The 22,188-nt window shown below is 54.8% G+C and overlaps 1 long non-coding RNA gene across 2 annotated transcripts, besides 3 other annotated features; it reads left to right on the forward strand.

Annotated features, from left to right (window-relative positions):
• Window positions 2,778–3,293: an enhancer, noted in NCBI's record as "H3K27ac-H3K4me1 hESC enhancer chr9:136349490-136350005 (GRCh37/hg19 assembly coordinates)". NCBI's record gives its function as "activates a minimal SCP1, AML or CMV promoter by ChIP-STARR-seq in primed H9 embryonic stem cells {active_cell/tissue: H9 hESC(primed)}" and the evidence as "EXISTENCE:reporter gene assay evidence [ECO:0000049][PMID:30033119]".
• Window positions 3,809–4,324: an enhancer, noted in NCBI's record as "H3K4me1 hESC enhancer chr9:136350521-136351036 (GRCh37/hg19 assembly coordinates)". NCBI's record gives its function as "activates a minimal SCP1, AML or CMV promoter by ChIP-STARR-seq in primed H9 embryonic stem cells {active_cell/tissue: H9 hESC(primed)}" and the evidence as "EXISTENCE:reporter gene assay evidence [ECO:0000049][PMID:30033119]".
• Window positions 4,325–4,839: an enhancer, noted in NCBI's record as "H3K4me1 hESC enhancer chr9:136351037-136351551 (GRCh37/hg19 assembly coordinates)". NCBI's record gives its function as "activates a minimal SCP1, AML or CMV promoter by ChIP-STARR-seq in primed H9 embryonic stem cells {active_cell/tissue: H9 hESC(primed)}" and the evidence as "EXISTENCE:reporter gene assay evidence [ECO:0000049][PMID:30033119]".
• LOC102723855 (uncharacterized) lies at window positions 10,121–19,555 on the forward strand. 2 transcript variants are annotated; one of them, XR_007061832.1, is made up of 4 exons: window positions 10,121–10,236; window positions 11,726–13,780; window positions 18,164–18,285; window positions 18,995–19,555. It is a non-coding gene; the product is annotated as an uncharacterized LOC102723855 (long non-coding RNA). The 2 variants fall into 2 exon arrangements; XR_428608.4 differs by having other exon boundaries at window positions 10,121–13,780.
• Window positions 19,556–22,188: the final 2,633 nt, after the last annotated feature.

Here is a 22,188-nt window from a genome sequence, read left to right on the forward strand (position 1 = left end):
CTAATATTTTTTTGTATTTTTAGTAGAGATGGGGTTTCACCATGTTAGCCAGGATGGTCTTGATCTCCTGACCTCGTGATCTGCCGGCCTCGGCCTCCCAAAGGGCTGGGATTACAGGCATGAGCCACCGCGCCCGGCCTCCCCAGTAAACTATTAATCTGCTTCCTGTGACGATAGATTACAGTGGTCTTATAAAGAGAACCTATGTGAAGCACTGTTTTTTTGTCTGCCTTCTTTTTTCAGCATGTTTATGAAATTTATCAGTGGTTTGCTGATGTTCAGTGGTTTGTTCTTATTTGCAGCCGCGTAGTGTAGTGTTTTACGGATGTAGCACAGTTTTTGGCTAAAAGAATGAGCCGGTGTGAGCCTTCTTGCACAGAACCCTGCTTAACAGCCTTTTTTTTTTTTTTTTGAGATGAGTCTCGCCCTTTCCCCCAGGCTGGAGTGCAGTGGTGCCATCTCAGCTTACTGCAAGCTCCACCTCCTGGGTTCACGCCATTCTCCTGCCTCAGCCTCCTGAGTAGCTGGGACTACAGGCGCCTGCCACCACGCCCAGCTAATTTTTTGTATTTTTAGTAGAGACGGGGTTTCACCGTGTTAGCCAGGGTGGTCTCCATCTCCTGACCTCGTGATCCGCCCGCCTCGGCCTCCCAAAGTGCTGGGATTACAGGCATGAGCCACTGCACCCGGCCCTGTTTCACAGCCTTTTAATGTTAAAGGCTGGGTGGATGAGCTTGAATTTGTAATGAATCTTCTGTCATGGGCATCAAAGCTGTTTCAAACTGTAAGGGTAGAAAAGGTGGAATCCGTTTCCTCACCCATTGTTACAAGACCAGCAGATCCACATGCCTGCTCCACCGTGACACCACGACACACCAGTACACCGTGCAGCAGGGTTCGCAGCAGGGAAGAGTTTAATGATTGCAGGGCTCTGAGCAAGGAGATGGGAGGAGATCCTCAAATCCATCTCCCCTAGGAGCTTTGGGCTGGGGCTTTTAAGGGGATCATGGAGGGCGATGGGCTTTAGAAGTGGGTTGTTGATAGGTCTGGGGATGGGAGGTAAAATCATCAGGAGGTGGAAAATGTATTCTTTGGTGAATCAGGTCCTCCTGGGGTCCTTGAGACCAGCTGTCATCAGTAGTTTCTTTCTTTTTTTTTTTTTGAGACAGAGTCTCACTCTGTCACCCAGGCTGGAGTGCAGTGGTATGGTCTCCACTCACTGCAACCTTCACCTTCTGGGTTCAAGCGATTCTCCCACCTCAGCCTCCAGAGTAGCTGGGAGTACAGATGCATGTCACCACACCTGGCTGATTTTTGTATTTTTAGTAGAGATGGGTTTTCACTATGTTGGCCAGGCTGGTCTCGAACTTCTGACCTCGTGATCTGCATGCCTCAGCCTCCCAAAGTGCTGGGATTACAGGCGTGAGCCACCGCGCCCGGCCGGTGTCAGTAGTTTCATTGGTACACAGGACCCAAAAGAACATCTCAAATGGAAACTTTTGACTGGGCGCCTGGCCAACATGGTGAAACCCTGCCTCTACTAAAAATACAAAGAATTAGCCAGGCATGGTGGCGTGAGCCTGTAATCCCAGCTGCTTGGGAGGCTGAGGCGAGAGAATCACATGAATCTAGGAGTGGAGGTTGCAGTGAGCCGAGATCGTGCGGTTGCACTTCAGCCTGGGCAATCAGAGCAAAACTCTGTCTCAAAAAAAAAAAAGGAAAAGGACATCTTTGCAATGTTAAAGTTGTTATCTATATCTACAGGGCAGTGAGGGAGAGCTACAATCTTGTAACAGAGTCTCTGTGATTCTAAGGCAACAGGCACCAAAAAACTTTGAGGTCAGAGAGCAAGTTGACCTAGCGATGGATGCTGAATGTGCTACAAGCCTGGTTTATTCTCATTTCTCCTCCTCTCTTCTTCCTTGATTAATTTTATAAAGTTTATAGGGATGGTCTCATCATCATCAGGGCCATGGGTGACAGTTCTATAACAAAAGACAGGTTCACAAGAGAAAAGCACACCAGATTTATTTAATCAAAGCTTTATGTGACAGGGAGGTGTCAGAAGTGGAGACTCAGAGACCCAGGGAAGATGGTCCCTGTGCTTAGAGTTGGTGGAGAACAGGCAGCCGTGTGGACAGGTGTCGGACGGCAGGGGATGCCTGTGGGGATGGACTGCGAGGCTGGCGAGGCCAGCTGTGCAGATCCCCCTTGGCCTCTCTGTGCAGTGCTTCTCCCCCCAGGGATGGGGTAGAACCCCCGGAGGGAGGGTCTTTTACGACCCACAGTCAGACAAGGTGGGCATGGCCAGCTCTTCCCCAGAAAGGCAGGTAGCGTTCGAGTCATGTTTCTAGGTCTCATGGCTGGCTTTGGGGGAGAGGGACTCTAGTGTCCATGGCCCACCTAGGGAAAGAGGAATTCTGGCTTCTGCAACTTGCTGCTGGGGAGAAAGAGGGCGGGAGAAAGGAGGGGAGGAGAAGGTTGGAAGAAGACTTCGGATGCACCAGAGGCCTTCTGGTTTCCTTTAGTTCTGAATCCTCATGCCAGGCACCCTGCTTGTGGGGATCATGGTCTGAACCCCAACAAACCATTTTTGCTGTTAAAATTAACATGATGGGGCCGGCCAGGTGCAATGGCTCACGCCTGTAATCCCAGCACTTTGAGAGGCTGAGGCAGGCGGATCACCTGAGGTTGGGAGTTTGAGACCAGCCTGACCAACATGGAGAAATCCTGTCTCTACTAAAAATACAAAAAAAAAAAAAAAAAAAAAATTAACATGATGAACATCTTTGTTTTTAAAGAATAATTTCCTTCTGCAGGGACTGCTTTTGTGACCTCTAAAGCCTGTTTTAACCTTCTCATGGGGAAGCTCACCTTCCTCTCTCCTGTCCTTCTCTCCTGGATCTGTGACAGACAGGCTGCTTGGGGACCTGGCCTCTGAGGGGGTGTGAAGGCACCCCCCAATCCATAGTGCTGGGCACACAAAGGGTGTCTGGAAGCCCCTTGCTGACTTGAACTCAGAGTCCTCTCCCCTTCCGTGGCCTCCCGCCCCAGGCAGGAATCTCAGTTCAGAGCAGCAGAAAGAGAGCTGGTCTGGGGGGACCCTGGGTCTGCTCTGGTGCCTGGGACGGCCACCACCCCTCTCTCAGTGCTGGCCACACCCACAGCGAGTTCTCCCTCCTTTCCTGTCATTCCTGCTGGGCGCCTCCCCGAGGAAGGCCCCAGGGGGGTGGGTCCTGCAGAGGGAAGCTCGAGGGGGTGCACTCAGCTGCCACTGTCCGCCGCCTGTCCCTGGGGAGCATGGCAGCTGAGGGCAGGCCCCTCCCAGGACATGGGACCCCCCATGGCTGGAAGGTGACTGGGCCTTGCACACCCAGCTGGGGTAAGAGGGAGGGGCCTGGAGTCCAGCTTGGGGGCAGGATCTGGAGGGGGCTGGGTGGAGCATCCCTGGCGGTGGTTTGCTGGTCCAGGGCGCTGGGGCTTAAATGATCTGGTCCAGACTCTGCCCTGTTGCGGGGGAGGGCTGGGGCCTGGCACTTGGAAGCTGTTTCCCAGGTCTCCACGGGGGCTGCCATAGGGGCCTCTGCCAATCTCCGGGGCTTCTCAGGAGCCACTGGTCCGCTAAGCCTCACTTTTCTCATCTGTAGGATGGATGCCACCTGTGCCCACCTCACCGCTGCCGTGCAGGGGGAGGGCAGCTGGCCGCGTTGATGCAGTTTGACAAAGGTCCCTCCAGACCAGTCTGACAGCTTCCCAGTTCCCCGGAAACGGGCCAAGCTGCATTCCAGGCCTGGCACCAGGGCCGAGGTCTCCGAGGGGACAGTAGGGCTGCCGTGTCTTGGGAAGGTGGGAGGCGGGGAGCAGATGCCGGGAATACTCATCCCACTCTGGGGGTCTTCTTCACCCCTGTTTTATGGAGGAGAAGACTGAAGCTCAGAGCTGCTGCCCAGGGTCACTTCTAGGTCACCTCATGCCCCCTGCTTTGGCCTATGCAACCCACATCAGGCCTTCCTGAGGGAGCAGACCAGAGGGACAGCAGAGGGTGGGCAGGTGGGGCCTTCCCCGAGGAGGTCCTGCCCCTTGCCTCCTCCTTCCCACAGATGGGCTGCCCAGGGCCCCCAGGGGAGAAGGTCTCTGGCACCCAGCTGTCCGGTGTCCCCAACGTCCCCAGAGATGTCCCTGGTGATGACCCTGAAGACTCGGACCTGGTGCCTTCCGTGACCCTGGCGCCTTCCGTGACCCTGGCTGCAGCCCTTGTCCTGCTGTTCCTCCTGCTCTCGGCCTGGCTGGTGTGGGACGGACCTTGCCAAAGCTGCTGCTAATGTGGGCTCCAGGAAAGTGTTGGGGGCCTGGGCCTGGCACGGAGTTAGGGGAGGCACAGCGGGGCCTCCCAGCGACACCCTGGGCTGCACTCCATTCCACCCTTTCCCAAAGCAGCCCCAACGGGACCCCAAGACTCCCCAGCGGGGCCCCTGGGTGGCACCGGACTCTGCCATTGCAGGCAGGGGGCGTGCTCCTGGGGACGGCCCCGGATGTTGGGCTGAGAGCCTCGCGCAGCCCCGGCGCTCAGGCAGATCGGGCTCAAATCCACTTCCTCTCCAGGCTGGCTGCAGGACCTTGGCCCCGTCTGAATCTTTGCAAGGCCCTTTTGGGTATCGCAGTTAAAGCCAAGTGACCCCTAGGTACTGGTGAAATGAGCGGGTGAGTTGGAAGATGGGGGTTCTAGTCCAGGCTCTGCCCGTGCTGGGCTGTGACATGGGCAGGTGCCTTTTCCCACCTGGATCCTGGTTTCCCTGGTCATCCAATGGGGCTCACAATACCCCACTTCTGGGCCCTGTTGGGAAGGCAGGTGCCGTGGGAGGCTGGGGCTGGGCCAGGCGGGTGCCCTGGTCTTTGCTGCCACCTGGTGGCTACAGATAGAATCGCATCGTCTGCTGCATGGTGCCCTCTGGGTAGTCCAGGCCAGGGCTGAGGAGCTGAAGGCTTTTTATGTTTTGGTGCAGAACATTTTGAGATTGTGGATGTGGATAAGCACAAATCCTGTTACCCAGAGAGAACAGATTTTTAACATTTTCTATTTATCTTCTTTCCCCATCTCCATATCTATAATCTCCTTAACAAAATCATAGGGCGGAGGTAAGTTGTGAGCCGGGCTCTAGAGTCAGAGAATGCTGCCTGTGGCCCTGGCCCAGGGCCCTGATGCTCTTTTGTGCCGCAACAGCTCCCTCCCTGACCTCGACATAGGAAGCAGGGAAGCATTTTTAGGGCTGGGAGGAGTGTGGGAGACCTTCGGGCTGGAAGGTCTCCTGGAGGCTCCAAGACCCCCCACCGCCGTCTCTCACGGAACAAGTACTTGTCAAGATTTCTACTGTGGGCCGGGTGCGGTGGCTCAAGCCTGTAATCCCAGCACTTTGGGAGGCCGAGGCAGGTGGATCATCTGAGGTCAGGAGTTCGAGACCAGCCTGACCAACATGGAGAAACCCCGTCTCTACTAAAAATACAAAATTAGTTGGGCATGGTGGCGGCCACCTGAAGTCCCAGCTACTCAGGAGGCTGAAGCAGGAGAATTGCTTGAACCCAGGAGGCAGAAGTTGCGGTGAGCCGAGATTGAGCCATTGCACTCCAGCCTGAGCAAAAGAGTGAAACTCCGTCTCAAAAAAAAAAAGAAAAAAAAAATTTCTACTGTGAGCCAGCCCCTGCGGGGAAACAGGGTAAACAGGATCCCTGACGGAGCTGGGGTATGACCAGGAATGGGAAGGCTGGACTCACTGCAGCATGCTGGGGCTGGGCTGGGTAAGTAGGGCCTGCAGGAAGGGGCAGATGAGCTCTAGGGTGTAGGAGGAGTAGGCCAGGGCCGGGGTCCCCAGGGAGGCTGTTCCAGGCAGAGGAACAGACTATGGGGAGTTCAGAAGTCACTCTGTGTTCTTCTGCACCAGCTACTGCTCCCCTCAGGGAACTGGAGGCCTCTGGAGCCTCCGAGAAGCAGCCACCGAGAAGGGGCAAGTGAGCGGCAAGGCCGTGGTTCCACATTCCCAAACCACGCTTTGTCCTTCCTGGGGTCCCCGTAGGTGGGGCTCTTCTCCCTCCTCCAGCTTTCTGAAGCCAAAGTACACACCTCGGTGTCCATGATGGGGCAGCCGGGGGGCTGTACGCTTCCTCTGTCTCTGTCTCTGGGCAGACCATAGTCCAGCGTGCTGCCCCTACTGCCCTGGAAAAGCCGAGCCGGGAAGCGAGCGGTGGCTTTAGAGGCGTCGTGCAGAGGGGGAGACGGAGGTAGAGCCTGGAGGTTTGGGGCACCTCCTGAAGCAGTGGGGTGGCCTTTCAGGTGGGGGGACTGAGAGAGCAAAGGCCTACAGGCTAGACCGGGGCCTCCCTGAGCTGTCATAAGCAGGACAGGACGTGGGGGCGCGCCACGGAGCCGCCTCCCTCCCCTGCCCATCCTGCCTGCTACAGGAAGGGCACACCCGGAGAAAGGAGGGAGGCCGGTTCCTGGCAGAGCAATGTTGAGGCTGATCCTCCCTGCTTCCCCCCACAAGCCTCTCTGTGAGCCTCCTCCCTGTCCCGCACACCCACCTGGGGGATGCCGCAGATTCTCAGAATCAGGCTCTACATGGCCCCAAGCAGCACATGGCCTGGCGGAGGCAGCAAGCATGGCCGCCGGAGCCTCTGGCCTTCTGCCCAGGGAGCAGGGGCCCCTTGGGGGCTGTTCTCTCTGCTCCCTCTGTCATGTCCCCTCTCTGTTGGTGGAGGAGAGTGGCTGCAGGCAGGCGCCTGACTCCCCCAGCTCCACACGGCTCCAGCTTTCTCTGCCTCTCCGTGTTCACCCCTCAACGCATCTTGTCAAATGGAGACCTCGAAGGCTGGGTGCAGTGGCTCAGGCCTGTAATCCCAGCACTTTGGGAGGCCGAGGCAGGTGGATTGCTTGAGGACAGGAGTTCGAGACCAGCCTGGGCAACATGGCTAAACCCCGTCTCTACAAACAATTTAAAAATTAGCTCGGTGTGGTGGCACACGCCTGTAATCCCAGCTACTCAGGAGGCTAAGGCAGGAGAATCGCTTGAACTCAGGAGGTGGAGGTTGCAGTGAGCTGAGATCACGCCACTGCACTCCAGCCTGGGTGACAGAGCAAGACTTTGTCTCAAAAAAAAAAAAAAAGAAGAAGAAGTAAAAATGGAGACCCTGAGACCCAGCTTCTGAGGTCGGGGGGTGGAGTTAGTAACTCACAGTACGGGCTGGTAGAGTCTGCCAGGGTGGTCTGGGCTGGGCTGTTGGGGATTTCAAACCCACGTCCCTCTTCGCATCCCGTCAGAGGCTGCCCGAGGCAGAGGCAGAACCTGCGGCTTCTTCCTCCCAAGTGCTGAGATCAGGTCCGAAAGTTCCAGTCATTCGCACTCCTAGAAGTGGCTTCCAGCCTTGGCCCAGGAGCCATCAGGACCAGGGACGAGGGCTGCAGGGAAGCCCAGGTACGCAGGCCGAGGAGCCCATGTCTGCCCCAGAGCAGGGCAGCAGGAGGATGGCCTCTGGCCCTTGCCACCCTGGGCCTCAGCCCTGCCTGCAGGCCCAGTGCTAACGAGAAACGCAGGCCGACCAGGGCAGTGTATGCCTGCTCTGTGCGTTTGTATTTCTGACCAGCGCCCATGAGAAGGCTGTGTGGTTTCCAATGCATTTCCAGGGGCCAACTCATTCCACCCGCCTAGCTCTGGTGGCTCCTGCAGGCCAAGCCCTCGCAGAGAGGGCCTGGGGTGAGAGCAGGCATCTCCGTGCAGCTTGGCCAGGAAGGAATCGCATCCGCAAGGAAAATATTGTTCTGTATAATTCAGTGGCCCGTTTTATAAACATTGTGGTTCTACCTTGGGGTTTTTCCCGCCTTGTCTCCTACCTCCCCTCCCCACCTTCCAGGGGCTGCTGGGCAGCCAGATGCCTGAGGTTAGGAAAGTATGTGCTTTTGCCGGGCTAGACAGTGCAAAGGGTGACAGGGTGGGCCTGGGGACGGGGCTCAGCCAGCCAGAGAGAGTTCTGGGGTGGGGTTGGCAGGACTGCAGCTCAAGCTGGTTTGCAAAGAGGTGTGAGAGCAGGCAGCCCGCCAGAGCGTGTGTGCGTGTGTGTGTGTCTCTGTGTAGGGATGTGCCTATGTGTGTTTGCCTGTGTGTGTGCCCGTGTGTGTGCATGTGTATATATGTGTGTTTATGTGTACATGGGTTCTGTGTGTTTGGATGTGTGTCTTTAACCAGGAAGCTGGGTATGGAGTGACACTGGCATCCTTTCTACCAGCCTGGATGTGGGCTGGTGGGTGTCTGCAAGGCCAGGTTAAAGTGGCCCATAGAGGGGCAAGGCAAGCTCCCCCCTCGGGGAAGAGGCTGCTCTGTGCCATTGTTGAGAGAGCGGGCATGGGGACAGATGGACTCCAATCCAGCCTGTATTTCCAGCACTCCCTAGTTGAGTGGCTTTGGGAAAGTCACTCTTCCTCCAGGTCAGTCACCGGGGGCTGTGGGGCTATACTGCCACCTCCATTCCTTTCTGCTTCCTTCTGAAAGGACCCTAATTTTGCTTGGGGATGGCAATGAGCCTTCCCTGCGGCCAGGTGGCCACGTGTCGGTGCAGAGGCCACGAGGGCTAGACAGGAGGGTCTGGGGCAGCTCTTCCTGATTAGAGAGGTAAAGTCTCACTGGAAAACGTTTTGGGTCCTGCCCTCTTTTTCCTGCCTGGAATCCCGTCGCGTGGCCGGGGGAGGCAGCTGCTCACTGGCAACCATGAGGGTGAGACCCAGTCTTGAGGCTGAGACCGAGGCAGGAGGGTGGGACCCACGCTACGCTGCTGGGGAAGGAAGCAGGCAGGGGCTCTCAGGCAGTGTCTGGAGGCTGGATGTCCATGTGGAGTGATGGGGTTGGCTTCTGTTTGCTGCAGCCTCATGCACTCCTGCTGGACACCCGGTGTCACTCTCTCTTCATCTGGGGATTGAGGGACCTGGAGGCTGGAAGGGGCTGGCTCATGGGTGTGCTCTGGATCTAGGCACCCTCCTCACTGCCACACCCTGAGGGGCACTGGGGAATCGTCCTCAGAGGCGTGCAGGGGTGCTGTCGGGACAGTCGGGCCCTACTGCTTCAAGGCTGCAGGAGGAGGATGGGGAGGATCTGGAGGGGGAGGAGGAGCTGGAGAAGGAGAAGCAGGGAGAAGAAGGAGGAGGAGGAGAGGGAGGAGGGGGGGAAGGTGAGGAAGAGGAGCTGGAGGAGGAAGAGGGGAAGGAGGTGCTGGAGGAGGAGGGGAGGGGGAGAAGGAGGAGTTGGAGGAGGATGGAAAGGAGGAGAGGGAGGAGGAAAAGGTGGAGGAGGGAGGAGGAGGAGTTGGGGGAGGAGGATGGAAAGTAGGAGAGGGAGGAGCAAAAGGTGGAGGAGGGAGGAGGAGGAGTTGGGGGAGGAGGAAAGGGAGGAGGACAGTGAGAAGGAGAAGCTGGAGGGGGAGGAGGAAAAGCTGGAGGATGAGGGGGAGGAGGAGTTGGAGGAGGAGGGGGAAGGAGGAGCTAGAGGGAGAGGAGGGGGAGGAGGAGGGGAGGAGGAACTGGAGGAGGACTTGGAGGAGGAGGGAGGGAGGAGGACAGCCTGGGTGGGAAGTTGCACTTGGCCCAGCTCCCAGAGAGGTGGGTGGCTTTAGGTCATGCGTTCATCTGAGACCTAGTACAACCTAGGACCCTGGGGCCCTGTGCCGGTCACTGTGCCTCTTCCAGCCTCGGTATCCTCTGGAAGGTGAGAATGAAAAACACCCAATGACACTCAGACTGGACAGGAGCAGGTACGCAGACAGCAGATGGCCAGGTGCACAGAGGTGTCGCCTGACTTCCTCACCGGGACGGCATGGGGTGGGGCTCCTCCTGCAGGCGAAGCCCGCCCGGGACTGGGCTCTGGTGGGTTCTCTCTCTTTTCCTTCAACCAAAGACCTGGCTGGACACCCCCCATCTGACACTCCGGGGGCTTTCAAGGGGCTTCAGGCAACCCACATGCATTCTGGGCATCCCATTTAGGGGGATGAAGAAGGAATTGGATAAGGCAAGGGTGGGGCTGGCCCGTCTCCTCTGCTGGTGCATCAGCCCCTCCTAGGGACACCACTGTCCTTGACCCCTCTGCAGGCCAATCAGCCCTCCTTGGGAAGCCGCCGTCCTTGCCCGCTCTGCTCCTGGGGTCCCACCCAAGCTTCAATCCTCGCTGTGTGGTCTTCCCTCCGTGAGCCTTCATTTCCTCATCGGTAAAATGGGGGAGAGGAGAGCGCGGGGGTCAGCCCTGAGCCTGGCTGGTTGGCTACTTAATGGGCTTCTGGTACCTTGACCACCATCTTTGACAGCCTCAGTTTACAGATGAGGCCCTGAGGCCTGGAGGAAAGGATTAGGCTGCCTGGGATGTGGGTGAGAGGTCTGATTCTGACCCGGTGAAGTGAGCTCCTGTCCCCTCTGGGGTTCCCCAGCAGGCATTAAGGGAGGGGTCAGACGAGGTCCCCCTACCGTGGCCAGATGTGCAGCGACCTTGGGCTGTAACCTCAGGGGGTTCGCGCCCCCCACAGCCTGCTGGGGACTGACCAGGCCTGGGGGAGACTGGGGGAGCGAGGGGCTGGGAGGGAATACCACCTGGCCGGACGAGGCCCACACCGCCCTGCCAGCCTGGCATCTCTGCTCTCCCAGGCTCAGCCAACACCCGCTCTAGGACTCAGCCAACTATTTGTGGGCTGCTAAGTAGCATGACAGCTGCTTTTCTTGCTAAAGTATGACATTACATTTTTCCGGATGGCCGGGCACTTCCTGGCCTGAAGTGTGCTAAGTGACAGCCTCACTCTGTCCCGCTGCCCCCCGAGTCCCTGCCCGCCTCCCTGCTTTGTCCAGGCTGGCTTGCAGGGCCAGGCCGAGACCCGTCCTGGCCTGTGTTCAGACAGAGCCTAGTACGGGCCCCCAGGGCTGCAGGTGGCCCAGGAAACTTCCCCGGGGTTATTTTTGGCCTCTGTGCTGGCCCATGGACTCCCTGCCAAAAGCAATTACTGAATTTTCATCTTGTTTTGCTGATGGTTTAGACTATGTCAAAAATGTTCCACTGGAAGGCCTGAGGGCACCTCGGGCTGGGGGATGTGGGGCTCGGGAGCCCAGCTGTGGCCGGGTCCCCGGAATAGATCTCTGGGGTTGCTGGCGAGAAGAAGGAGGACAGGGGAGCCGGGGCCTGTTTGTTTGTAGCTGCCACTGGGTGCTTCCCACACGCACAGCGTGCTCGGCTGGTGGTCATGCTCCCTGCGCCCTCTGCCAGCTGTGCGTGTCCTTCTCTCCCACTTTACAGAAGAAGAAACAGGTTCAGGGAAAGGGCCGAGGGCATGCCCAGGCTGCACTCTGTTCTGTGGGCTGCCGCACTTCCAGCGCAGAAGGATTTCCCTGGCTCAGGGGTGGCAGGGACTGGGGGCTGGGGAGGCCACGGGGAACAAGGCAGGGTCTGCCCAGGCCCTCTTCTCACTGCCCGGGGCGAGGGGTGTCCGAACCAATCAGATCTTTCCTAAGTTAAATGTCTGTGTTGCGGGCTTCGGCTACTCTGTTCATCCTCCTGGGAATTGCCCAAATGGCAGCCAGGTGGATGCAGGAGAAGGTTGGAGGGAAGGCTGGAAATCAGAGGGGGCCGCCCTCAGGCTTCTGTCCATCTGCAGGGGCCCCACTGGCAAGCAGCACCTCTCCAGAACTCTGTGTCCCTTCCTCTCCCCTCCGCAGCAGCCCTGGGAGGCAGATGCTGCCATGAAACCACGGTGCCCTCAAGAAACCTGGCCATGAGGGGGCTTCCTGCCTGCCCACGGCCCTGCAGGTCATGGTAAGGGGTGGTCCTGGAGTTTGTGCCCTGGCACTTCCATTCCAGAGTCACTGCCAGGACCTTAAGCCTGGAGCTCCCCAGGCTGCATGGCAGTGGCTTGCTATGCAGGCCATGGCTGGGGTGAAGGGTGCCTGGGGCGAGGGGACATGTCACTTGGGGCCCTGGGTTGCCTGGCCTGCTGGGGGCCCCCTTGTTGCTCAGCTGCTGTCCTGGGGTCACGGCTCTCGGCCACTCTGCTCACTTGCAGTTCCTGGGAGCCTGTGGACATCGTGTTCTCGAGCCTGAAGGACCAGCAGGGCCCTGGGTGAACGGGGCGGTCCAGGGCCAGGGCCTGTGCTCACACTCCTGCGTGCATTCCCACGCTTCAGCAAAGCAATGCCGCCTCCTATCTGACAGGCTCAGGGTGGCCCTTCGTGGGTATTGTCACCACATTCGCTTGTGCATCAGACGCTTTTTGAGGAAGCTCAGGCCCAGCTTCATACCAGGCACTGGGATGGGGGTCAGCCCTGCCTTGAGGGCTGACCAGTTCCAGAGGGGAGACACACTGAAAACCATCACACCCTCGGCAGGCTGGGGCAGGGCAGAGGGGCACAGGCACCAAGACACAGGAGAGCCAGGTCAGGGCAGAGGGGCACAGGTCCCCGGACACAGGAGAGCCGGGGCAGGGCAGAGGGGCACAGGACTCGGGACATAGGAGAGCCGGGGCAGGGCAGAGGGGCACAGGCCCCCAGACACAGGAGAGCCGGGGCAGGTCAGAGGGGCACAGGACCCGGGACATGGGAGAGCGGGGACAGGCTGCTTCCTGGAGGAGGTGATGCCTGAGCTCAGTGAAAAAACACATGTGTGGGGCCAGCCAGGGGATCGGGTTATGCAGGGCGAGGCTGCCCCAGGTACTTGGGAGGGAGGTGGCCCTGGGTGGGTGTTGGGGCCGTTGGCGGCAGGTGCATCTGCCCTGGTGTCTGCCAAGGCAGAGCCCAGACTGGACGGCTCAGCGCTGGCCTGGGTGTGGGCGACGCTTGCAGGGGCCGTGTGGGTGTCTGCGTGTGAGTGCCCATTGTGAGTCTCGTGTACCTGTGTTCACATGGCTAGGGTCCGGCTTCCAGCTGGTCCTGTCGCCCTGGGATGCCACACGTATTGTAATTACATCTGGGATTTCAGGGGGAGGAGGAGATGGGGTGCCTGCATGCCTCCTAAAATGTTTGAAGGCCTTATATTGGAAGAATGGGAATGTCTGCCTGAGGGGCTTGCCCATATCGACAGAGAAGCCCGCCTCCTCCTGCAGATAAGGAGTGGGGTTTGCTTCTTGCGCATGGAGGATGGGTACAGGGCTCTGCTGTCCTGAAACGGACAGGCCTGCCAGCTCAGTTGATAGAGAGGGGGCTGGAAAGCTTGCCCGGGTGTCCCGCCCCCATGGCTGGGACACGAACTGGCCTTGAACCCACCCAGCCCCGGCCTCCCCTGCGTCCCCCAGGCTGGCGGCCTCACTCTGTGGCTGTGGGGCCTTTTCCCTTCCAGCTCCTGGCCCTGTTTTCCTGGGTCTTGTATGGGCGGGGGCCTTATGAATGTACCATCCAAGTAGAAAAGATGGGCTCACCACATGAACGCAGCTTCCAGACACCTCCAGCTGTGTCTCCCCAGGACCCTTCCATGGAGGTCTGACAGCCCTGGCCCAGGCAGAACACGGCCTCAGCGTGCTCCTGTGGACCCTGGTGGGAGCCCCAGGAGCCGCGGTGATGGGGTGAGTCGGGCCAACTTCTTGGCTGTTGCCTGTGGCCCATCAACGCCTGCGGGTGGACGCCCTTCAGGGCCAGAGCAGGCGCCTCAGCGTGCAGACACTGTCTGGCTCTCTTTCTGCGTTTTCTTCATCTGGATTCTGTTGGGACAACAATCAAGGCTGTCTCGTTCTGTCTGTGGAATGGGCCTCACCTAGCAAGAAGCCCCAGGGGCCCCCAGGGCTGGTGAGTCTGTGTGTACACGTGTGTGTGTGCTCGTGTGAGCTCGTGTGTGTGCGCGTGTGTGTGTGCATGAGCTTATGTGTTGTGTGTGTGCGCTTATGTGTGTGTGTATGTGAGCTTATGTGTCATGTGTGCTCATGTGAGCTCTGTGTGTGTGTGCATGAGCTTCTGTGTCATTTGTGTGTGCGTGAGCTTATGTGTGTGTGTGCGTGAGCTTGTGTGTGAGCTTATGTGTGTGCATCAACTTATATGTGTGTGCACGTTAGCTTATGTGCCGTGTGTGTGCGTGAGCTTATGTGTGTGTGTGCGTGCTTGTGTGTGTGCATGAGCTTATGTGTCATGTGTGTGCTTATGTGTTGTGTGTTGTGGGTGTGTGCGTGAGCTTGTATGTGTGTGTGCATGTGCTTATGTGTGTGTGCTTGTGTGTGTGTGCATGAGCTTTGTGTGTGTGTGTTTATGTGTGTGAGCTTGTGTTGTGTCGTGTGTGTGCACATGAGTTTGTGTGTGTGTGCTTGTGTCATGTGTGTGCGTGAGCTTATGTGTGTGTGTGCATGAGCTTATGGGTCATGTGTGTGCTTATGTGTCATGTGTTGTGTGTGTGCGTGAGCTTGTGTGTGTGTGCTTGTGTGTGTGAGCTTATGTGTCGTGTATGTGCTTATGTGTTGTGTGTCGGGGTGTGTGCGTGAGCTTATGTGTGGGTGTGCGTGAGATTTGTGTGTGTGTGTGCATGAGCTTGTGTGTGTGTGCGCATGAGCTTGTGTGTGCATGAGCTGTGTGTGCATGAGCTTTGTGTGTGTGTGAGCTTTGTGTGTGTGAGAGCTTGTGTGTGAGCTTGTGTGTGAGAGCTTGTGTGTGTGAGCTTTGTGTGTGTGTGAGCTCATGTGTGTGTGCGTGAGCTCGTGTGTGTGTGCGCTTGTGTGTGTGCATACATGTGTGTGCGTGAGCTTGTGTGTGTGAGCTTTGTGTGTGTGTGTGAGCTCGTGTGTGTGTGCATGAGCTTGTGTGTGTGTGTGTGCATACACGCATGTGTGCATATGCACAACCCCAGAGCCCCACTGCAGGGCACCGTTCCCAGCGAGTACCCCAGCGAGCCGGGTTCCATGTTCCGTCTGTGGGTGAGGATAGAGCCATGGATGCTTGTGTCTCACGTGGCCCATCAGGGATGCTGTCGCCTCCACCACTGAGCTGAGCTTTGAAGCCCCCAGAGCTCAACTCTCCTGTTTCCTCTTCCGTTTCTGCAAGACTCTTTCCTATCAGAACAGAAGGCGAGTGCCCGTTGGGCCCTTCTGCTCTTCCTGAGAAATGGAACTCGTCCCCAGACTGCCTCCCTCCTTCTTTTTGAAAGTCCAGACACAATGTGTCTCGGTCAGGCATGACACGCCTGGGGGTCTGGCCCCGAAATGGCCAGGTGGGTGGTCTTTGGGTCAGTGACACTCTGGCTTTGAAATCTCCCCCAGATGCACTTGGAACAAGGGACTCCATGGGAAGACCCCCCAGATCGGGGTGGAGTCAGCCCCACACCTCTCTCTGGGTGGCTGATATTTCAAAACTTGTAGCTCTCCAGACAGTGGCCGGGGAGCCTCTCCGTGGCGGGGGTGCGCACCCTCCCTTGGCAGCCTTGCCTGAGCTCGGGAGGCTCTCTGGTGTCTGAGGCTGAGAGCCCGGTCTGCTGTTCAAGCCATGCTTTCTCCCGTCTGTCCCGTGTCCATGCACATGTCCATGCACTTACGATGGCCCTTAGGGTGAGGCAGGAGGAGGCTTCGTGGGATTAGACATTGCCACAGCGTCTGCATAAGTTGAGGGTGGCGCTGTCACTGTTCAGGGCCCCCCGACCCTGCCCCTGAAGCCGGTTGGCCTGAAATGCAGAGTCGATGACCTGGAGCCGGCCCCTGGCCTCTGAGAAGCTGAGCTGCGGCTGACTTGGCCTTTCCTCCATCGGAGGCTGAAATCCACGACTCTCACCAGCCGGCTGGGGGCTGGGGGTGGAGCGGCGTCCAGGCATCCGGGAAGGACTCTAGGGGTCTGACTGATGGACTGAGGGTACGGCCCTCCCAGGAGTTCCTGTCCACCCTGTCTCAGTGTGGACTGACCTGGAGGTCTGGGATGTGACAGGCTTGGAAAATGATGCGGTGATCCTGCCTGGAGGGTGTTCACGACAGACTGCATGCTAAGATGGCGCTGGGGGGCGGGTTACAGAAGACAGTGTTGTATGATCCTAATTATGCACAGGACAGGGCACAGCGGTCAAGACCATGGGCATTGGAGCCTGCTGTCAGAGCTCAAGTCCAGCCCTGTCGCTTTCCAGATGACCTTGACCTTGGACATGCTGCCAAACGGCCCTGCACTTCAGTGCCTTCAGCTGCAAAATGGGGTGATGCCCACACCTGTCACTCAGGGGTATTGCGCAGGTTAAATGAGTCAATACGTGGAGCAGACTTAGAACAGCAGCCCTACGTAAGTGACCACAGAGACAAACGTCTACAGTTTCCGATGATTTTAATGGTCTTCATTTTGTTTATCTACATGTTTGAATTTTTCTACAACACACACGAATGACTGGAGTAATTTGAAAAAGGTAGATGGTTGCTTTGAACAAACTTAGAATCATCATTGACCCACGCGTTGCTTGTGGGGTAAAAAAAAAAGTAAAAATAAAAATTAATAAGAAACATCTGAAAGCTCTCAACCCACCACACACTGGTGGGGTAGCAGCTGATTGCAGTGCTGAGGTGCTAGAGGGGAGACCGAGTCAGTGGGGCTGGTCCTGGCTTCCTGGGGCTCTGTCAGGTGAGAGAGACACACCTGTGGAGGTGGGACGCTCCCCAAGGTGAGGGCTGAGTAGAGGGACGGCTCAGAAGAGGGCAGCTTGGAGGGGCTAGTGAGGGGCTGTGGAGGAGGTGGACTTTGAGACAGGTCTTGGAGGACGGGTAAGATTTTGGCGGGCAGGGAGCAGAGGCTCACACAAAGGTGTCCAGGTGCAGGGAACAGTGCGTGTGTGTGTGTGTGTGTGTGTGTGCATGCATTCATGTATGTGCGTGCATTCATGTGTGCAGTGCATATGGGTGTGCATGCCTTTGAATATGCATGTGCATTCATGTGTGTGCTTGCATACATGTGTGTGTATTTGTGTGTGCTTGCATACATATGTGAGTGCATTCGTGTGTGTGTGTGCATACATACGCGTGTGCATGCATCCTTGCATGTGTGGGCATTTGTGTGTGTACATGCATGCATTTGTGTGTTTGCATTCATATGTGTGCTTGCATTCGCATGTGTGTGCATTCATGTGTGTGCTTGCATTCGTGTGTGCTTGCATACATGTGTGTGCTCGCATTTGTGTGTGTGGATTCATGTCTGTGCTTGCATACAAGTATGTGAGTGGATTCATGTGTGTGCATGCATACGTGTGTGTTTTTGTGTGTGTGTGCGCACACAGAAGGAAGATGTGCATGCTGGGGCTGGAGTTGAGACCTGATGAAAGACAAGGTGGGAGGGCAGGGAGGCCAGCCTGCTGGGAGGTGCCCAGGCTCGGCACAGTGGTGGCAGGAGGGGATGCCTGGTGCTGCAAGAGGTTCTGGAGCTGGGGCTGCAGGTTGAGGCGAATGGGGTCCTGCTGTGTGTGGGGCAGGAGAGCAGCCTCCCTGAATAGCTCTCCTTAACCAGAGGGGAGCCTCAGCTCATGGTGGCACGTGTGGGTCCCGGGACAGCCCTCATTGGGTCCCCAGATTCCCCAAAGTGGCTCCGAAGCAGGTTGGTGAGAGCCACAGCGCAGGTTCCAGAAGCTTCAAAGCTCTATCCAGCTGGACCCCTGCCACTCTGGGAGAACACCAGCACCCTGCCCCTGCTGGACAGATAGCACCCAGCTTGGGAAGACCTAAGAGAAAAAGCTTACATATTCCTCTGGCTTGGGCTGGAGTCGGGGGAGGCTGCTTTGTCAGGCTGGGACGGGGCCGACCGAGCCCCAGGACACGCTGTCCCCTGGTCTGGCCTCTGGTGTGGGGCCCATGCTGGGAATGGTGTCTGACCCTGTGTTCCCAGCGGGGCTGGGGCAGTGTCTTCAGGACACAGCTGTGCCCAGCTGTTCCCCAAATGACACAGTGCAGAAAACCCGCCCCCTCCTCTGCAGCTCTGCCGACCATCCGTCACCGTGTGGGGGCCTTTTTGGGGACCCATGACCCTTAGGGTAACAGGACAGAGGCCAAGACCTGCTTGGCTTGCAGAGTCTGGGGAAATGTGTTGACTTCTTAAAGGCCTCGGGGGACATCAGGAGCTAAGAAGGTTTGTCTACAGCCCAGCTCCACGAGATGCCCTACGTTCAGGCTCGTGAAGTTAGGGAAGGGCCTGGCTTCCAATGAAACATTGTGACTTCCTCATGATCGCTTCCAGGGTTACCGGCAGAGAGAAGCCACTGCGACCTTTGCCCTCCCTAAATCCAGAGGTATTTGGCCCAGAAGCTCCTCCCTGAGTCCTTGCTGGAGCATTTGTCTTCAAACGGAGGAGGAGAACCAGTGAGTTTGTGTTCAAATGTCGGCCAGGCCACAGACTTTGGGAAAGTTGCAAACCTTCTTTGTGCCTCCGGGTTCCCGTGGGTTCCATGAGCTCATTCCTGTGGCTGTGTCCCAGGGGCATGGGATCTGTCTTGGGGACTTAGTGGAGTGGTCGTGACCTGGAGACCCAGCCTAAATGGTGGGTGTGTGTCCCCTTGGCTGCTGCTGCCGGCGCTGACTGCGGGTTCTTCCTGGTGCCTCTGCACACTCCGAGGGGCTCCGAGGCATCCTCCATGCACTCCTGTGCCGCCTCTCCCTGAAATGTACGCAGTATGAAGGCAGGAATGCAGCCCATCTCATTTGGTGCTGTCTGTGTGATATGGTTTCGATCTGTGTCCCCAGCCAAATCTCATCTTGAATTGTAATCCCTGTGTGTCCAGGGAGGGAAAAGATTGGATTGTGGGGGTGATTTCCCCCACACTGTTCTCCTGATAGTGGGTGAGTCTCATGAGATCTGATGGTTTTAAAAGTGGCAGTGTTTCCTTTGCTCATGCTCACTCTTTCTCCTGCTGCCTTGTGAAGAAGGTGTCTGTTTTACCTTGCACCATGATTGTAAGTTTCTTGAGGACTTCCCAGCCCTGTGGAACTGTGAGTCAATGAAACTTTCTTTGTTTATAAATTACCCAGTCTCAGTTAGTATTTTTTTTTTTTTTTTTTTTTTTTTTTTTAGATGGAGTCTCATTCTGCGGCTCACTGCAACCTCCACCTCCCGGATTCAAGCGATTCTCCTGCCTCAGCCTCCCAAGTAGCTGAGATTACAGGCATGCGCCACCATGCCTGGCAAATTTTTGTGTTTTTAGTAGAGACGGGGTTTCACCATGTTGGCCAGGATGGTCTCAATCTCTTGACCTCGTGATCCGCCCGCTTTGGCCTCCCAAAGTGCTGGGATTACAGGTGTGAGCCACTGTACCCGGCCTCAGGTAGTATCTTTATAGCAGTGTGAGAATGGGTTAATACAATGTGCAGGGCCTTAAGCTGTGGCTGACTGGTAGAAGCAGCTCAATAAATGGTGGATGGATGGATGGATGGATGGATGGATGGATGGATTCACTAATTACTGACTCACTTGTTGGGTGTGGTAGAGCATCAGATCACAGACCTTAGAGCCTGGCTTCCAAGGTTTGAATCTGTGATATACTGACTCCATAATATTAAGTGATTTATGTAATGTTCCCATGCCTCAGTTTCCTCATCTGTAAAATAAAGTCCAAAGATTTCTGTTCTTTTTCAATATGGCCAGTTAAGAACCTGCACAAACCCTCCCACTAACAGCAGCTAGAAATTCTGGGTAGAATGAAAAATGCCTGTCTTGTTGATTATTGTCTTGAGCTGACTAGGAAGTGTGGAGTACTCAGGCCAGGATAGAGAAAAGATGGGACCCAGAGAGGAAGGTGGACACTGAATCTGGCTTTCCTGGGAGGTATGGAAAGATGTGGCCACTGCTCCATCTCTGAAACAAAAAGCTGAACTTATTGCTTGTTCAGCATGGGAGAGCTATAATTGTAAGGCTCAGACTGCCCGAACAAAGCAAACTGCTGGCCTTCATAGTGTTTCAGGAAGAGTGGAGTTCAGGCATAGGAGGCTTTCAGAAGTGGGAGAGCTTGGGGAATGATTGATCTCTAACTGAGGGAGACTAGTTATTGGAGAGGGGCTACTGCTGGTTGGTTGACCAAAGAAAGTGGTCACTACTAGATTGAGACGGACTTAATGCTGGTGTTTGCTTGTTGCTGTGGCCAGACAACAGCCTATCTTTTCATTTTGAAGTTGGAGAATTGAAATTTTTTATTCTCATAGGCAAACCTGAGCATCATTTTTTGACTACTTTTGTGGCTAGAGGTCAGAAGACAAAGCACAGAGCCTGGCCATGCAGGAGAGTCTAGTGGAAGACCATTCCTTCAATGTGGGACTCCATGGGCTACACCTCACTGTCATGGGAAACTAGAAAATCTATTTCCCCTTTGGATACTACATCGGCACTGCCTGTAGCAAACTTTGGTGCCAAGTGGAGCAGGAAAAGCATTCTCTAAGAATTAATAACTATAACCTGAACTACGTGTGTGTGTATGTAGCCTGAATCCACATTTCCTCAACTATCCAAAACAAGGGATTTTAGTTTAAAGGAGTGTCAGATTGGAAGTGCCTCAATTGTTTGACAGAAGTAAATACAATTACTTTCTAAAGGACTCTGCCTTTACCTCAGGCCTCAGAAAATTTCCATAAAGTTCCACAGCAAATGAGCAGTTCAGAGTAAAAAAAAAATCACTAAATATACAAGGAAACAAGACACCATGAGGGAAAGTCAACAGAAACAACAGGCAGTAGAATCAGATCAGCCAAACATTTAGATACTAAAAATAGCAGGACTGGAAAATAAATGTGTTTTATGGAAGAAATAAGAGGCTTGGATGTATTAATGAAGAACAAGCATACTTGAAAAAGAACCAAACATACTCTTAGAAATAAAAACATGACAATCAAAATGAAAAACTCAAAAGATAGCTTAACCACAGTTTAGACATGACCGAAGAAGGAATTGATGAACTGAAGGATAAGGCAAAAGACATTAGGAGAGTTGCACTCCTGAAAGATAAAGAACTGGGAAATATAAAGAACATGAGGACTTGCGTGCAAATGTAAGCATATTGCTAATTGGATTTCCAGAAAATGAAGAGAGATAGAATAGGAGTAGGGGCAATATTTGAAGAGGATTATGGCTGAAACTATTTCAGATATAATGAAAGATAGCAACCCACAAATTTAAGAAGCCCAGTGACTCTCAAGCAAGCCAAAGAAAAAGGATTCCACACGAGTCACATAAGAATAAAAATACAGAACATTGAAGACCAAGAGAAGTCTTATAAAAGAGCCCAAGAGAAAATATAGATTATCTTCAAAGATAGTTACGCTGAGAACTTACTATTCAGGAGCAACAATGGGAATTAGGAAACAGAGAAATGATGTCTTCAAAATGCTCAGAGCAAATGATTACCAACCTAGAATTCAATATCCGGTGAAAAAAATTAAAGATGCAAATGATTGTCAACCTAGAATTCAATATCCAGTGGAAAAAATAAAGACACAAAGGATTACCCACCTATACAATTCAATATTCAGTGAAAAAAATAAAGACAATCATAGGCAAATAAAAATCAAGAAGGTGTCCCACAAACAACCCTTGCTTAAGGAAATTTTTTGTAAAATTAATTTTATTTTTTAAGACAGGGTCTCACTCTGTTGCCCAGATGGGAGTGCAGTGGTGCAATCATGGCTCACTGCAGCCTTGAACTCTCAGACTTGGGTGATCCTCCCACGTCAGCCTCCTGAGTAGCTGGGACTGCAGGTGTGCACCACCATGCCCAGCTAATTCTTGTTTTTTTTTTTGTAGAGATGGGGGTCTCCATATGTTGCCAGGGCTGGTCTGGAACCCCTAGGCTCAAGCAATCCATCCACCTCAGCCTCCCAAAGTGCTGGAATTACAGGTGTGAGCCCACCATGCCCGGCCACTTGAGGAAGTTTTAAAAGATATGTTTGAGCCAGAAGGAAAATAACCCCAGATGAAAAAATTGGGGTATAAGAAGAGATGAAAGTCGAAGAGATTGTCATATGTGGGCAAATCTAAACAATTATTGGTGGTAAAAATGTCATGTGTTGTTTAAATGAAGATAAAAGAAAAATACAAGGTAATAATCGTCTTAAAGTTAGGAGGGAAATAATTGGAATTAAAAGGTTCTATGGTCCTGCGATGTTCAAGGGGAGGGTAAAGATATGAATTTACTAGAAACTTTGATGAACTACCACTAAAGGAATGGAATTAGCATATACATTCTAACTCTTTAAAGGGTTATGTATGTTTCCTCCCAGTCT

Source organism: Homo sapiens, chromosome 9, assembly GCF_000001405.40.
Source record: "Homo sapiens chromosome 9, GRCh38.p14 Primary Assembly".
In the NCBI taxonomy this organism is placed as follows: Eukaryota; Metazoa; Chordata; class Mammalia; order Primates; family Hominidae; genus Homo; species Homo sapiens.